Raw genomic sequence first — 16764 nt, forward strand, 5'->3', positions numbered from 1 at the left:
TTTCACCATGTTGGCTAGGCTGGTCTCAAACTCCTGACCTCAAGTGATCCTACTGCCTCAGCCTCTCAAAGTGATGGGATTATAGGCATGAGCCACCATGCCTGCCCCACTTTTTTTAAATAGACCATTTTTTAGAACAGTATTAGAGTTATAGAAAATGTTTAAAGGCAGTGCAGAAACTTCTCATATACCCTTCACCAAGTTTCCCCTATTATTAACATCTTACATCAGTATTGAACATTTGCTACAATCAATGAGCCAAGATTGACATATGACTATTAATTAGAGTCCATTGTTTTTTCAGATGTCCTTACTTTTTCTGCAACACTCTTTTTTTATTCCAGAATACCACATAACATTCCACTGTCGTGTCTCCTTAGCCTCATTTTAACTGGGCTGGTTTCTTAGACTTTCCTTGTTTTTGAGGTCTTTGACAGTTTTGATCAGTACTAGTCAGGTATTTTATAGGATGCCCCCTCTATTGGAATTTGTCTGATGTTCTTCTCATGACAATACTGGGGTGTTGGGTTATTGGGAGGAAAGCCACAGAGGTAAAGTGCCATTACATCACTTCATATCAAGGGTACACACTATCAGCTTGATTTGTGACTGTTGATGTTGATCTTGATCACCTGGCTGGGGCAATGTTCGTCAGGTTTCTGTATGTAAAGTTACTCTTTTTCCCTCTTCTCAGTATTGTACTTTTTGGAAGGAAATCACTATGCATGGTCCATTCCTAGAGACTAAGGAATTATGTCCCCCTCCTGGAGGGTGGAATATCTACATACATTATTTGGGATTCTTCTGCACAGGAGATTTCTCTCCTGTTTCCTATTTATTGATTTATTCAATACTTTATTTATATCAGTGTGGACTCATAAATATTTTATACTTTGGGTTATAATCCAATACTACTTTATCGTGTTGCTCAAATTGTTCCAGATTGACCACTGGGAGCTTCTTCGGTTGCCTCCTGTGTTCCCTTGACACACCTCTATCAATGCATTTCCGTGTGTGTGTGTGTGTGTGTGTGCATGCACGCACACACGCGCAGTTTCTCATCTTCTGGCACTACAAGATGCTCCAAGCTTATCTTGTATATTTCTTGCCCTAGTCCTAGAATCTGTCATTTCTCCAAGGATCCCTGGTTCCTGTTATCGGAAAATGATATTTGAAAGGAAGATCTGGATGTTAGGTATCCTTGTTGCCATCAAGGTATTGTTTTTTGTCAGCCCTCTGAGCTGACAGCAAAAAAATATTTGCTTATGTATGCTAACTGATATCTATATCTATACACACTTCTATTTTTTTTTTTTTTTGAGATGGAGTCTCACTTGTCACCCAGGCTGGAGTGCAATGGTGCGATCTCGGCTCACTGCAACCTCTGCCTCTCAGGTTTAAGTGATTCTCCTGCCTCAGCCTCCCGAGTAGCTGGGACTACAGGTGCCCGCCATGATGCCCAGCTAATTTTTGTATTTTTAGTAGAGATGGGGTTTCACCATATTGGCCAGGCTGGTCTCGACCTCTTGACCTCAGGTGATCCTCCCGCCTCAGCCTCCCAAAGTGCTGGGATTACAGGCATAAGCCATTGCACCCAGCCGTCAATACACACTTCTATATGTTACCATGCATAGCTATATTAAGCTAAACATGAGTTCATAAGATGTGTCCAACTGTAATCTTTTACTACATGAATCCACCTAGGTCCCGATCCTTGCTGATCTGTAAATTTCTGCTCCGATAGTGATAAACCCGGCTCCCACATCTGCTATTCATTCACTTAATTGTTCACTTCCAATATACATGTATAGCAGTATCAGAACTGTTGACCCATACCCCTGTGGTTCACAACCTATCAACTTGTATAAACTCAGTGCTTTATCAACTAGAGCACAGTGCTTAGGTGCTGTTTCTTTTCTTTTGTCTTCAGTCTTAGAGATTTCATTAATTACCAGTTACTTGGGTCAGCATCATTCCTCTTGTCCCCGTCAGTGAGGTTGTTTCATATATTTGTAACAGAGTTAGATTCTCTTGTCATAGTCTGCACTCCTTCCTGGGACTCGTCAACTTCCTCAATGATTTTTTAAAATGTACATACATTAAGCTTCACTCTTTGTGCCACAAAAATTCTATGGGTTTTGACAAATAGATAATAATATATATGCATAATGTCATGCACCAATACAGTATAATACAGAATAATTTTACTGCTTAAACACCTCTGTACTTCACATATTCATTCCTCCCCTCATCCCTTTGGATACCTGGAAACCACTGATCATTTTATTGGCTGTATAGATTTTCCTTTTCCAGAATGTCATGTCACTGGAATCATACAATATATAACTTTTTAAGACTTTCTTAGAAACTTTATTTCCATCACATATTTTTGTGGCTTGATAGAGAGCTCATTTCTTTTTATCACTGAATAATATTCCAGAGTATGAGTTAGCATAGTTTGTTGATCCATTTACCTCTTGAAGGACATCTTGGCTGCTTCCAGTTTTTGACAATTATGAATAAAGTTCTAAATACATGGATGTGCAGGTTTCTGTGTGAACAAAAGTTTTTATATCCACTGGGTAAGTACCCAAGAGTGTGATTCTGAGATCATGTTAAAAGTCTATGTTTAGCTTTGCAAGAAACTGCCAAACTGTCTTCCAAAGTGACTGTACCATTTTGCATTCCCATCAGCAATGAATGAGGGCTCCTGTTGCTCTCAGCCTTCCCTTTTAATTCAAATCACAAACTCACTACATGAAGAAAAGCTCCTAGCCAATCTCCTTGCCACAGAAGGCAGAGTTTCCATAAGAAAAGATTATGCCTGGGGCACAAGTCCTCAGTATCCACCATGTCCATAACTCGAGGAGCCATGAGTTCATGGCAAATACCTGGGACTCCCATATTTTTGCAGTATGAGGGGAAGTGATGATTCTCTGAATGAAATAAGAGAATAAGATGTAGAGGATACCCAAGATAGCTGAACTTCTCATTACACAGTCAGACAGTAGTTTTGTGATATCAAAAAGGAACTTCATTAATCAACACTCAAGATGAACATATGTAACCTAGGTCCCAAATTTCCCCACATACATGATAGTCAGGACAAATTAACCAGTGGGAGCCTTTAAAGTTTGAAAATGTGACATAGCAGAGCAACTAAGAACGTGCTAGCTTTTTCATTCATCAATGCTCAACCTCAAAGATCCACTGAGCCTGTGCTATGTGCCAGTCACGTGCAAGATGCTAGCATCCCGGAACTCAAAGTACAACGGAGGAGCCCAGCATGTCCCCAGATCATCACTATCCGATGTGGTACATGTAATATCAAAGAAACACACATTGACTTTGGAGCTGATGATACAAATCTGGTTAGGAAAAGAGAACAAGTTCAGTGGCCATTTCAAGAACAGCCTTTGCATCCAAGGAACCTGGCCAATCAACCTGAGGGGCCATAATTACTTTTTCAGGCTTATGCTAAATTACTGCAATAAGATTTGTGTAGATGGATTTGAAGGAGGGGATGAATTCCCTCGTGTTTTTGAGGCTATTATGGAGGAAAGGGTGGCAGGGGGCAGAGGAAGAAATCCAGTGGTGGAGCAGCCCTGGGCAGAGAGAAGCAGAGACGTTTATTATGGGAGCAGCTGTACCCCACACTCACCAGTTTCCGAAGCTTCCCTCTCATTTGGAGAGAAGACAGCACACATTTTAAGGACACAGTAGATTGCAAGCAATTGATGGGTCAACACGGCTGGCTGGGCTGGTGATTTTGTAATTACGAAGCAGATTTTTTAGACAGAATGGTTACCCCAACTGTGTAATTAAGAGGATCGTTAAGGAATGTTGCTGGGCTGTGCATCACCCTGGGGCTAGAGCTACCACATGGTTACAACAGAAAAAAGCAGTCAGGCTTCATCACAGGGCCATTGCTAATTAATTGAAACAAATATTTGCAATAACAATTCCTATAGATGATATATTTGCAACAGTTGAATGCTGAGAGAATCTTGACAGAGAGGTCTGATCGGGGTGAAAACAATAGAAAAACAGGTGGTAGTCCCCAGGTTAGAGAAAACAAATGGGCTGGTTGAAATTGGATGGCCTTGGTGCAGTTTTAGTTGAATCCAACTCTGTAGCACTGGTTTGGACCTTACTTTGTCTAGCATATTTACTGTAGAATGGGCCTGGCTAAACTGGAGAAATTCCAGAAACTAACAAGAGTGATTTGAGTTGGAAAACAGCACCTAGGAGGAAGGTGAGGAAAAAGAGACAATTTAGTCTGGACTATGTCTGCATAACATGTTAATAAAGACTTTCAAAATTATGAGAAGTTTTCCTCTCCAAGAATAGAAATTAGCCATGTCCATCTCCTCTTAGCACAAAGAAGGCATAAACATCAACTGCAGAATGAGGAATTTGAACTAAGCAAAAATTTTGATGTTTTAGATTCTAAAATAAGAGACTACACAGATATTTGATCTAATTCCCGTGAACACTTTTTAGAACTGCAGAGAGGCTATAAATCCCAACACAGGTCCCTCCGTGTTCTGCACAAACTTTCATTTTGCTTCGTGTTATTCTAGACATCTTCTTGGTTGGAAATCATTAAACTGCCTTTGTTAGATGAAAGTAGTACTTTGGTAAAAAATATAGGCCAAATCATTAACAAAGGACCCGATCTCATGCATCAGAAGTGGGGTCAGTTTGTAGCTTATAACTGAATCCACTTAAGGCTTAGCCATGGGTTATATATTCTTCAGAGGTGGCTTCCAACCTTAGGATTCTAGAAATGACCACTTTCTTTCTATCTCCAGTGACTGCTACTGTGCTCAACCCGTAGTAGGTGCTCAGTGAACATTGCTACTAGAGATCATGCGTAATATAAATCCTCAGTGTTCTTGTTCAAAATGCAGATGAAATCAGAATCTCAGGAAATTTACATTTTAAATAACGTCTCCCAGTGATTTTGAAAACTCCTGGCTTAGGGCAACCAAACTTCAGCACTGGGCTTGAAGTAATCTTCCTGGGAACAGCATCCTGGGAGAAAACGCTAGGATTTCAGTGATCAGAGGGAGAAGCTCTTATCTGGTTAACAAATTCAAGCTGTAGCTACTCAGCCAGCCAGGTTGTCATGCATAGATAAAAAACAGAAAGACCTGCTGAAATGACCCTAGATGTGTCCTGTGCTGCACAATGCCTCACTGGGCGTGCAGAGGTTCTGTGAGAAGTTGACAAATGCATTGCTCTCAGGGCCTAATTATGAATCAGTTTGTTCCAGCAGCCCCCTTCACTTCTGCAGGGGTTTGGCCAGGCAAGTAGGCACATCACTGGTAACAGACAGAGGTGCACAAGACCCTCAGTGCTCCAAAAGCCATGTTCCTTCAGCCATGATGTGAGAAACCACAGGAGACATCTAGCACCTTCCTAGTTTGTCAATTTTATTCAGTGTTCAGTAACTAAAAAAAATTTTTTTTTTACATTAAAACCAAGGTGGTGGGCCAGGCTCGGTGGCTCACACCTATAATCCCAGCACTTTGGGAGGCCAAAGCAGGTGGATCACCTGAGGTCAGAAGTTAGAGACCAGCCTGGCCAACATGGTGAAACGCCGTCTCTACTAAAAATACAAAAATTAGCCCCGGTGTGGTGGCGCATGCTCATAATCCCAGCCACTCAGGAGGCTGAGGCAGGAGAATCACTTGAACCCAGGAGGTGGAGGTTGTAGTGAGCTGAGATGATCACACCACTGCACTCCAGCCTGGGTGACAGAGTGAGTGAGACCCTGTCTCAAAAATAAAAAATAAAAAAACCCCAAGGCATACATATTATCTTATAGAATGAAAAATTCACATCTTTTTTTCTTTTTTTTTGGCCAGGCACGGTGGCTCAAGCCTGTAATCCCAGCACTTTGGGAGGCCGAGGAGGGCAGATCACAAGGTCAGGAGATCGAGACCATCCTGGCTAACACAGTGAAACCCCGTCTCTACTAAAAATACAAAAAAATTAGCCGGGCGTGGTGGCGGGCACCTGTAGTCCCAGCTACTCGGGAGGCTGAGGCAGGAGAATGGCGTGAACCCAGGAAGCAGAGCTTGCAGTGAGCCGAGATCGCGCCACTGCACTCCAGCTTGGGCCACAGAGCGAGACTCTGTCTCAAAAAAAAAAAAAAAAGAAAAAAGAAAAATCACATCTTTAAACAAAAAGAGAGAGATACTTCAAAGAAATTTCTCCCCTAATAACGTTCTGTTAGAGGCTCCAGAACCCCAGGGCTATGCACTTACTCTCCTCTAAGGATTGTTCAGAGCAGCGCTGTTCCTAGAACTTTCTTCGACCAAAGAAATGTTCTGTATAGACACATATGCTATTGAGCCCTTGAAATGTGGCTGGTGAGACTGAGGAACTGAATTTTTAACTGCATTCCATTTTATTTAATTTGAATTTGAATAGCCACATGCAGCTATCAGCTACTGCATGGGGCAAGTTTAAAGGAAAAGTTTACATTTTAGTCCCAACGTCTCCTGAGAAGTCTTTGGGATTTAAGGAAGAATTTAGGAAATGGAGCCAAGCAAGAGGCATCGGCAGCATTTTCCCTCTGTCTGTCATCCTTCACTTCTGTTCCCAACCGTTTCCTCACCCGAGAGCCCCTTTTCCAGTCTGCAGAAAGAAAGAGCATGTAGTAGAAAGGAAGACCTGCTTCTCTGGAAAGCCAAGAATGAGGAAGAGGGAGCGCGAGAAAGAACCCATCCTTGGCCAGGGGCGGTGGCTCACGCCTGTAATCCCAACACTTTGGGAAGCCAAGGCAGGTGGATTGCTTGAGGTCAGGAGTTCGAGACCAGCCTGGCCAACATGGCGAAACCCCATCTCTACTAAAAGTACAAACATTAGCCGGGCGTGGTGGTGCACACCTGTAATCCCAGCCACTTGGGAGGCTGAGGCATGAGACTTGCTTGAACCCAGGCGGTGGAGACTGCAGTGAGCTGAGATTGTACCATTGCACTCCAGCCTGGGTGACAGAGACTCTGTCTAAAAAAAAAAAAAAAAAAAAAAAAAACACCATCCTGGATGTCTTCTATCCCCTCAACAAGATCTTAGGAATCCTGGAGGCAGTCATCTTCAAGTTCATCTTATAGGAGTGGAAACTGAGGCTTGGGGGTGGAAATATGTATTGTCCCAGTGACTTGGTGAATGAAATGGTGCTAGCACTCTCAGCCTCCAGCCACCGTGAGCTCCTTCCTGTACTGCACCTGTGTCCTTCTCAGGGAAAGATGATGGATTGTTTTTCTCTGGCCTGTGAGGTTGCAAAATTTCAAAACAAGACAATGTCCTTGTAATTTGACCATATGTACCACATGATTTACAAATGCCCCTCTGACCTAGTGATTCTTGTACTAGTAATTTATCCAAAGTAAATCATGGGGAAATGTGAACAATGTTGGAAATTAAGTAGAAAAAAAATAAGAAAATTGTGCGTGCGTGTGTGTGTGTGTGTGTGTGTGTGTGTGTATTTTTTTTCTTTTTTTTTTTTTTTTTTGAGATAGGGCCTCACTTTGTCAACCAGGTTGGAGTGCAGTGGCACCATGATGGCTCACTGCAGCCTCAACATCCCAGGCTCAGGTGATCTTCCCACCTCAGCCTCCCGAGTAGCTGGGACAATAGACATACGCCACTACACCTGGCTAGTTTTTATATTTTTAGTAAAGACGGGGTTTCACCATGTTACCCAGTCTGGTCTCAAACTGGACTCAAGTGACCCGCCTGCCCAGCCTCCCAAAGTGTTGGGATTAGAGGCGTGAGCCACCACGCCTGACCACATATTTAAACACATATATATAATCTCAATAATTTTGTGGGTTTTTTTAGATGTTTGTTTGTTTGTTTGTCTGAGACAGTTTTGCCCTGTCGCCCAGACTGGAGTGCAGTGGCATGATCTTGGCTCACTGCAACCTCTACCTTCCAGGTTCAAGCGATTCTCCTGCCTCAGACTCCTGAGTAGCTGGGATTACAGGCACACGCCACCATGCCCAGCTAATTTTTTGTATTTTTAGTAGAGACAGGGTTTCACCATGTTGGCCAGGCTGGTCTCAAACACATGACTTCAAGTGATCCACCCACGTTGGCCTCCCAAAGTCCTGGGATGACAGGCATGAGTCACCATGCCTGGCCTATTCTTAAGAGTTTTTTAATGCATATGTATATTTATTGCAAAAATTAGAAAATATATAGTGATTATCTCTAAGTAGTAAGGTTATAGGTGATTTTAGTTTTCTGCTTTGTGCTTTCTGTACTATAATTGGAAAGGCCAATTATTTATTTATTTATTTATTTATTTATTTATTTATTTATTTATTTATTTTTGAGACGGAGTCTTACTCTGTTGCCCAGGCTGGAACGCAGTGGCGCGATCTCAGCTCACTGCAAGCTCTGCCTCCCAGGTTCACGCCATTCTCCTGCCTCAGCCTCCCGAGCTAGGGCTACAGGCACCCACCACCACGCCCAGCTAATTTTTTGTATTTTTAGTAGAGATGGGGTTTCTCCATGTTAGCCAGGATGGTCTCGATCTCCTGACCTCATGATCTGCCCGCCTCGGCCTCCCAAAGTGCTGGGATTACAGGCGTGAGCCACCGCGCCCGGCCTGGAAAGGCCAATTATTGATAAACACTGGCACTTCATTTATTAATAGTGTTTCAGTATGTCATATTCAGTGAAAGTCTGTAACATCATCTTCACTGTTGCGGACACACATAGTGTGCTTTGGTCCTGCCTCCAGGGAGTGGATGTTCTAGGTCAGTATGGAATTTTCCAGATCCCCTTCACTTCCCATGTAAGTTTTCTCTGCAGAGGGCCCTGTGTGAAGGAGGCATGTTCAGGAGGGGCAGTGCCCATGGGCAAGAAACAGGTAGCCTATGGTCAAAATGTGCAGCCTCATAGGCACCTGGTAGGAAAAGCAGTGCCTTAATTTACAAAAAGTCAACTTCTAGGCTAACAGTAGCCCTGTGTGGGCATGCTCTTTAGTATCAGCAACTTGATCATATTCACAGTGAAATGCAAACCTGGCAAAAACATGCAGGGGCTACATGGGAAGTCGCCCTCACGAGAGCCTTCAAAACTCGAGCAAATGCCAATATTTCAAGCATACCTAATTTCTAACCACACACATGCAATTCCAGGCTCATCTCTTCCCTGAGGTGGTGATAGGTTGAAACTGAGGGGCTTCACTTTTGAAAGCATTTGCTGATAGAATGTGGGGTTTTTGAAAGCAATTGCTGACAGAACACAGCTAAGAACTAAGCAGTGGTCTCTAAGGTGTTGAGAGAGCTCATTGCAGAAGCGAGCCAGTTCCTCCCAGACCACTGACAGATGCAGGATCAGTTGAGAGCTGGGCTTTCCATTGTGATGTGCTGCTCCTACTGAGAACATGCTGCTGTGTAGGCAGGACACGTAACGTTGCATTATACATCTCCCAGCTTGCCACGTCTCCCAGCTTGCCACATCTCCCAGCTTGCCACATCCTGTTATGTTGCATCCCATCAGCCTAAGTCATGATGGAGGCAAACACAACCTGGGGTGACATGTAGCACTTTGTAATGCATCGTAGCATTTAAGTCTACATTGGCCAAGTTGCACACATCAGCTTGGACACAAGATGCTCATTATTCAGAGAGTGTGATCTAATGTGCAGGGACTGCTGGCTGAGGGTATAAACTGCACCAAGGGAGAGCATGTATGTCACACTCCGTCTGAGAGCCAAAGTTCATCCACTACATTGAATTCCCATTTCTCCACTGGAAAACTCCACAACCACCAAGTCCTTGTGAGAGGGGATCTGATAAACAAAACATTCCAAATGCCTCCAGTGCGCTGTGGGAAGAATCATGCCCTGTGCAGAGACTTTCAAGTATTGATGCTGATGAGTAGTAAGATGGTTTCTGAAGCATGTGACTGGATGACAGCTGGCACCTCCACTCAGATTAATACTAACTGACTTACTTGGAGTTTAAACTTAGAATCTTTGGAATACTATGCAGCCATCAAAAAGAATGAGATCATGTCCTTTGCAGCAAAATAGATGTAGCTAGAGGCCATTATTCTAAGAGAATTAATGCAGGAACCAAAAACCATATACCACATGTTCTCACTCACAAGTGGGAGCTAAACACTGGGAACACATGGACACAAAGAGGGGAATAATAGACACTGGGACCTACTTGAAGGTGGAGGGTGGGAGGAGGGTAAGGGTCAAAAAACTACCTATCAAGTACTATACTCACTACCTGGGTGATGAAATCATTTGTACACCAAACCCCAGCAACACTCAATTTACCCATGTAACAAATTGGCACACATACCCACTGAACCTAAAATAAAAGCTGGAAAAAAATACTTATGATCTTTTGATTATCCTTCTTCTAACCAGGAGATTTATATACATGGGACTTTTCAAGAGAGCTGTGATGATGAGTGATGAATGAATGAATGTCTTAAGGCTTGAAAGCCAACCCTTCACTACAAATAAAGGTTTGACACCAGAATTCTACAATCTTCTTCTCCAGTCACTCCTTGAAGGCCCGGGCTCTGATACTCAAGGGAAGGCTTATGCTCTCCAAACCCAACTCAAGGAGCAATAATGGGGCAGCCAGCCCTGAAAGACTAAGAAGCATTGGCATATGGCTCAAGCCGTTAGTTTCTCAACTGGCTGGGAATCCTCACAGTTTCCTTGTATGAAAGAGGGATTTGCTGCAATTTCAGGAGGGCTTCAAGAGCTCATCAGCTCCCTTTGGATTAATAGGAGCTTTCTATTGTATCCTTTTTGAAAATTTCATGTTCTGAGATACTCTTGGCCCAGTCAGAGGGCAAGGAAAGCATCAGGAAGGACAGTCAGGCTCCATTTCTCAGGAGAGTGTTTTTATAAAGTAGAATTGGAATCTTCCAATGGACAAGAGGCCTGCCCAGTGACTGGGGGTAAGTAGAAGGCCCAGCGCCATGGTGATGTCAGGTAACCTCTTAGCCCACAAACCCCCACCAGCCTCTCCTGATGTGACTAAATTCTTACCTTTACCCTTAGTTGAGACTATTTGATTGGCAGTAACAGAAATCCACTTAACGTAACTCAATCGAAAAAGTGCAGCTAGGCCAGGCACAGTGGCCTACGACTGTAATCCCAGCACTTTGGGAGGCCGAGGCAGGAGGATTACTGGAGGCCAGGAGTTGGAGACCAGTGTGGGCAATAGAGCAAGACCCCTGTCTCTACCAAAAAAAAAAAAAATTACTTGGGGTTGGTCCCAGCTACTTGAGAGACTGAGGCAGGAAGATTGCTTGAGCCCAGGAGTTGGAAGCTGCCGTGAGCTAGGATCATGACACTGCACTCCATCCTGGGTAACAGAGTGAGACCTGGTCTCTTAAAAAAAATAAATAAATAAATAAATAAATAAATAAATAAAGTGCAGCTAGACCTCACCAGACCTGGCAAGCCATTTAGTCAAAGCAGCTTCTCTTCCACTGCACCTGGTCTCTTTCTCTCTCTGCAGCCACATGTCCTCTCACCTTCACTTTCCCTGTGATATCTTTCTCCCTCTGTCCCTCTCTCTTCACCTCTGTCTTTTTCAGTCTGTCCATCTCTCTTAACCAGCTCTCTCTGCCTCTCCTTGTGCACATAAATAAATGTGGTTAGTCCATTTTAATTCTCTCAGTTCAGGTGACTGGCTGAAAAAAGTACTCATATTCTATAGTTCCAATACACAGTCCCAGAAGCTTTGGTTCACGTTGGGTCTACCCCCGTGCAATCAGTATTGTCCTCTGATCGTCCACCGAAGTCACCCAGTCTGGCCTGGATGGCACGGTCATGCAGTGTACACACAGCTGTCCTCATCCACTCCTGTCCCTGTGGAAAGTTCTCTGGAAATGGGACTGTGGGCTGGACATGCACCTCCAAGGCATCCTTGTCATGTCTATTTTCTCTCCAGTCTGATCACATCCGACATCCTCTCTTCCAACCTAGATGTCACACAAAGCAGGGGATAGTGGAAGAGAATAGGCTTGGGAGACAGACTTGGTTTCTAATACTGGCTTTGTAAATAGTAGGTTTATGGCCTTGATAAAGGAGCGTAAACCTCAATTTCTCCATAAGAATAGGGGAAATAGCATCTATCTCGAAAGCTTATTTTGAGGATAATGACCCATTTTGGAAAAAATCATCTAAATACAGAATTTCTATTTCTTCACTTTTCATTTATTCTATACTCACTTATTTGTGGCTTCTGCTTCTACCAGTCCCTTGAAATTGTTTTCATTAAGGTCAGCTATGACTTTTTCTGTTGCTATCATCTGTCCTAATCATATTCATTCTCTTTTTAGAATCGTCACTGTTGACCATTCTCTCCTTCTTGAAAATGCTCTTTCTATGGCTTCTATAACAATATATGTCGTGGTTTTTCAAATCGATGTTGGTTTCTTTAAGATTATTTTAATATATAAATGAGTGCTGGGTGCAGTGGCACACACCTGTAGTTCCAGCTACACAGGAGGCTGAGGCAGGAGGATTGCTTGAGGCCAAGAATTTGAGGCTACAGAGTACCATGATCAGGCCTGTGAAGAACCACTGCACTCCAGCCTGGGCAACGTAGTGAGACCTCATTTGTAAATTTTTAAAAATTATTTTAATATATAAATAAGCAAAAAGAAATCAGCAATTATTTGTATCATTGCCAAAAATTAACTAGCGCTAACATGTTTGATTCTCTTTTTTATTCTTTTCTTTTTAAAAATTCAATTAATATGGAAAGGTTAGAAAATGTTTTAAATTTTAAAGTAGCCCAAATCCCTCTATCCTGGAATTCTATTCTTTATTAAGGATAGCACAGTAAAAACTCTTTGTTATCCAAGGCATCTTTTTAAAATGCAAGTATGGAACTAAAGAAATAGAAACGTATTTTTAAAAAATGAGTTCAGGCTGGGCACGGTGGCTTCAACCTGTAATCCTAGCACTTTGGGATGCTGAGGTGGGCAGATCACTTGAGTTCAGGAGTGTGAAACCAGCCTGGCCAACATGGTGAAACCCTGTCTCTACTAAAAATACAAAAAAAATTAGCTGGGCATGGTGGCAGGCACCTGTAATCCCAGCTACTTGGGAGGCTGAGGCAGAAGAATTGCTTGAACCTGGGAGACAGAAGTTGCAGTAAGCCGAGATCGCACCACTGCACTCCAGCCTGGGCGACAGAGTGAGTGTCAAAAAAAAAAAAAAAAAAAAATCCTAAAAGCGTGTGAGGGTAGGTGGGGGAGATGAAGAGAGGTTGATGAGTGAGTACAAACCTACAGTTAGATAAGAAACAGAAGAAATAAGTTCTAATGCTAGATAGCAGGCAGGGTAGGGGAACTATAGTTAGCATCAATATATTGTATATTTCCAAGTAGCTAGAAGAGAGGACTTGAAGTGGAACCAACACATAGAAATGATCAATATTCATGGTGATAGCCACCCTTAATGCCCTGAATTGCTCATTACACGTTCTATGCATGTAAAAAATACTCATAGGTACCCCCATAAATATGGAAAATACTATACATCAATAACCTATATATCAATAACAGAAAAAAAAGAAACTAAAAAAAATAGGAGGGTACAGTTACTATGTTTCTATTTAAGACACTGGTACTCCTACAATTTCTACAATCTTCCCTCCCCCACTTCTTGATTTGTGTTGCATTATTGGTATTTTCTTTGTTTGTTGTTTGCTTGTTTGTTTGTTTTGAGATGGAGTCTCACTCTGTCATCTAGGCTGGAGTGCATTGGCACCATCTCGGCTCACTGCAACCCCTGCCTGCCAGGTTCAAGTGATTCTCCCGTCTCAGCCTCCCGAGTAGCTGAAATTACAGGTGCCTATCACCATGCCAGGCTAATTTTTGTATATTTAGTAGATGCGGGGTTTCACCATGTTGGCCAAACTGGTCTCGAACTCCTGGCCTCAAGTGATCCACCCACCTCAGCCTCCCAAGGTGCTGGGATTACTGGTGTGAGCCATCACACCCAGCCTGTTTTTATATGTTTAACATTGCAGTTTAATTTCTGTTAACATAGTTCCCATGGTTGCCTGGAATCTGGTTTTGGCTCTATATTCAAGTGTATTTTATGCTTATATGAGGTGTTTCCTTGGTCATGGAATATCCATTCCAGAGTTCTTTGTTTTGATTTATCTCCATGAGGAATTTTGTTATCAGTAGTTTTTTCAGAAGTGCTTATGTGTCTGTATTCTTTGATTTATTTCATGTGTTTGAGTTATTTTCATGTCTGTAGCTTTTTGCTTGAAGGCATCTTAGAGAATGTCATGCTCACGGTCACACCTACTTTCCCTTAGAACTTTGATGATGTTCCGCCTTTGCCTTTTTCTGGCATTGAATGATCTTGTGGAAAAGTCTGGGGCAGCCTTATTTACTGCTATTGACTATATGCTGGGGGAAAAAAATCTCTCTTTATCTATGTTCATATAAGTGGATTAGCTTAGCTAGACTGGATCTTGATGTTCAGTGATCTGGGCGATTGAGATTATGTATATAAAAAATTGATGTTCATAAAATGCTCAGCACAGAACCCAGTATGGGGTCAACAAATTATGGCCTACAGGCCAAATCCAGCTCACAAACTACAAATAAAGTTTTACTAGCACACAAACATATTAGTTTATGTATTATCTGTGGCTGCTTTCCTGCCTCAATGGCAGGGCTGAATAGCTGTGACAGAGACCATATGGTCTGCAAGTCCTAAAATATTTACTATCTGTCCTTTTACAGAAAATGTTTATCAGCCCTATTCCCCAACACACATGCTCACTCTGTCCTAGAGAATCAGGAAAAACTGGCTATTGAAAGTGACTTTACATCTCACTTTCTAGTCTAACGTGTTATTTTCTGCAAAAGCAGTTTCCATAAAATCTAGATATGGGCTCCACCAACCTTAACCACTTCCAAAGAGAAGTTCACCTGCATTATGTAATGTCCATATGATATGGTATTATCTTTTGAAGACAAGCTCACATCTATGTCCAGAGACCCATCCACAATTGAGGCATAATGATGTTTCAATTTAAAGCCATATTCAGAAACTTTCGCTATTACCGCCACATGGTCAGATGGCCCATGCCCAGTTGCAAATAACCAATCAATATCAACAACATGGTTGTGGCACTTCAAAAGTGGGAGAAGAGAAGGAAAAAAACAAGTGTTTTTTTTTTTTTTTTTTTTTTAGTAAAACCCAAGAAAATGCAATGATAAGTCTATAAAAGGTGATTTTGAAATGGTCCGTATTTTAAGAGTTTTGCTGCTGCTGCAATGACTTTAAAATGCCCTTGAACTGGACTCATCGGGTCCTTCCTTTTGGGGAATGGGCAGCTTTCTGCATAAGGAATACCTGTAGAGATTATTTCTGGCTCTGTGAATTGCCATTCTGTATTCACTATCTCTCATGTACCAATTTGGGAAGAGTGATGAGGGTGTTGAGATAGGAGAAAGGATCAATAGTGTGCTTTCTAGTCACTGGGAATGTTGAGAATAGATATTTAGCAGACAGTGAGATAAGGAATCTCCACACTTTATGTGTGTGTACATGGAAGATATTATCAATATATCAGCCTTTCAGATAGCCATTTGCCTTAGGTCAGTAAAAATTAGAGGCCGACATTTTATTTAACTCTGCGTTATCTCCTCTTTGCAACTTGAAGTAGACATAGGCTAGTTAACACAAAATATTATCTTGGGGTGGGTACATACTTGTAATTTATATAAAAGGCTGAAATGTACCTCATTCTCTTTCCTTGCCCAAAGATGGAGTAAGCATTTATAAACTTCCCGCGAAATATTACCGCCTTAGAGTCAGCAGACCTAGAATATGTGAACTTGGCCAAGTTTCTTAACCTGCTCAACCTGCTCTGTCTAGTTTTCTGATCTTTAACAAGAGCTAACCTTTGTCAAGCACTGACTGTGTGCCAGGAATGGCTGTAAGTGTTTTCTGTGCATTTTCTCATTCAATTCCCCCAACTGCTTACGGTCCATATTTCATATATATATATATATATATATATATATTTTTTTTTTTTTTTTTTTTTTTTTTTTTTTTTTGAGACAGAGTCTTGCTTTGTCACCCAGGCTGGAGTGCAGTGGTGCAATCTCGGCTCACTGCAACCTCCTTCTCCCAGGTTCAATCCATTCTTCTGCCTCAGCCTCCCAAGTAGCTGGGATTACAGGCAACCACCATCACACCCAGCTAATTTTTGTATTTTTAGTAGAGATGGGGTTTCACCATGTTGGCCAGGATGGTCTTGAACTCCTGACCTCAAGTGATCTGCCCACCTCAGCCTCCCAAAGTGCTGGGATTACAGGCATGAGCCACTGCGCCTGGCCAGGTCCATACTATATTATGATGCCCCCTTGCATGAGAAAACTGAGGGATAAAGTGGTTCAAGCCATTTTAAGAGGTAAAGCTAGATTTGAACTTGGCAGTCTGGCTCCAAAGTTTGTTCTGCCTCTTACCAGTAATAAGATTGTAAAAAATATAAAAAGAAAAATTGAAGAATATATTTTTTATTATGTTTTTTATATGTAGTAAGCGTGCAATGAATGGTAATAATCTATGTGATAGTGATGATGACTGTGATGAAAAGAATAAAAAAAAACAGGGTGACTATGCTAGGTGCAGTGCCTCACACCTGTAACCCCAGCACTTTGGGAGCCGGAGGTGGTGGGTCACTTGAAGACAGGAGTTCGAGAACAGCCTGGCCAACGTGG

This window comes from Homo sapiens, chromosome 7, assembly GCF_000001405.40.
Source record: "Homo sapiens chromosome 7, GRCh38.p14 Primary Assembly".
Taxonomy (NCBI): domain Eukaryota; kingdom Metazoa; phylum Chordata; class Mammalia; order Primates; family Hominidae; genus Homo; species Homo sapiens.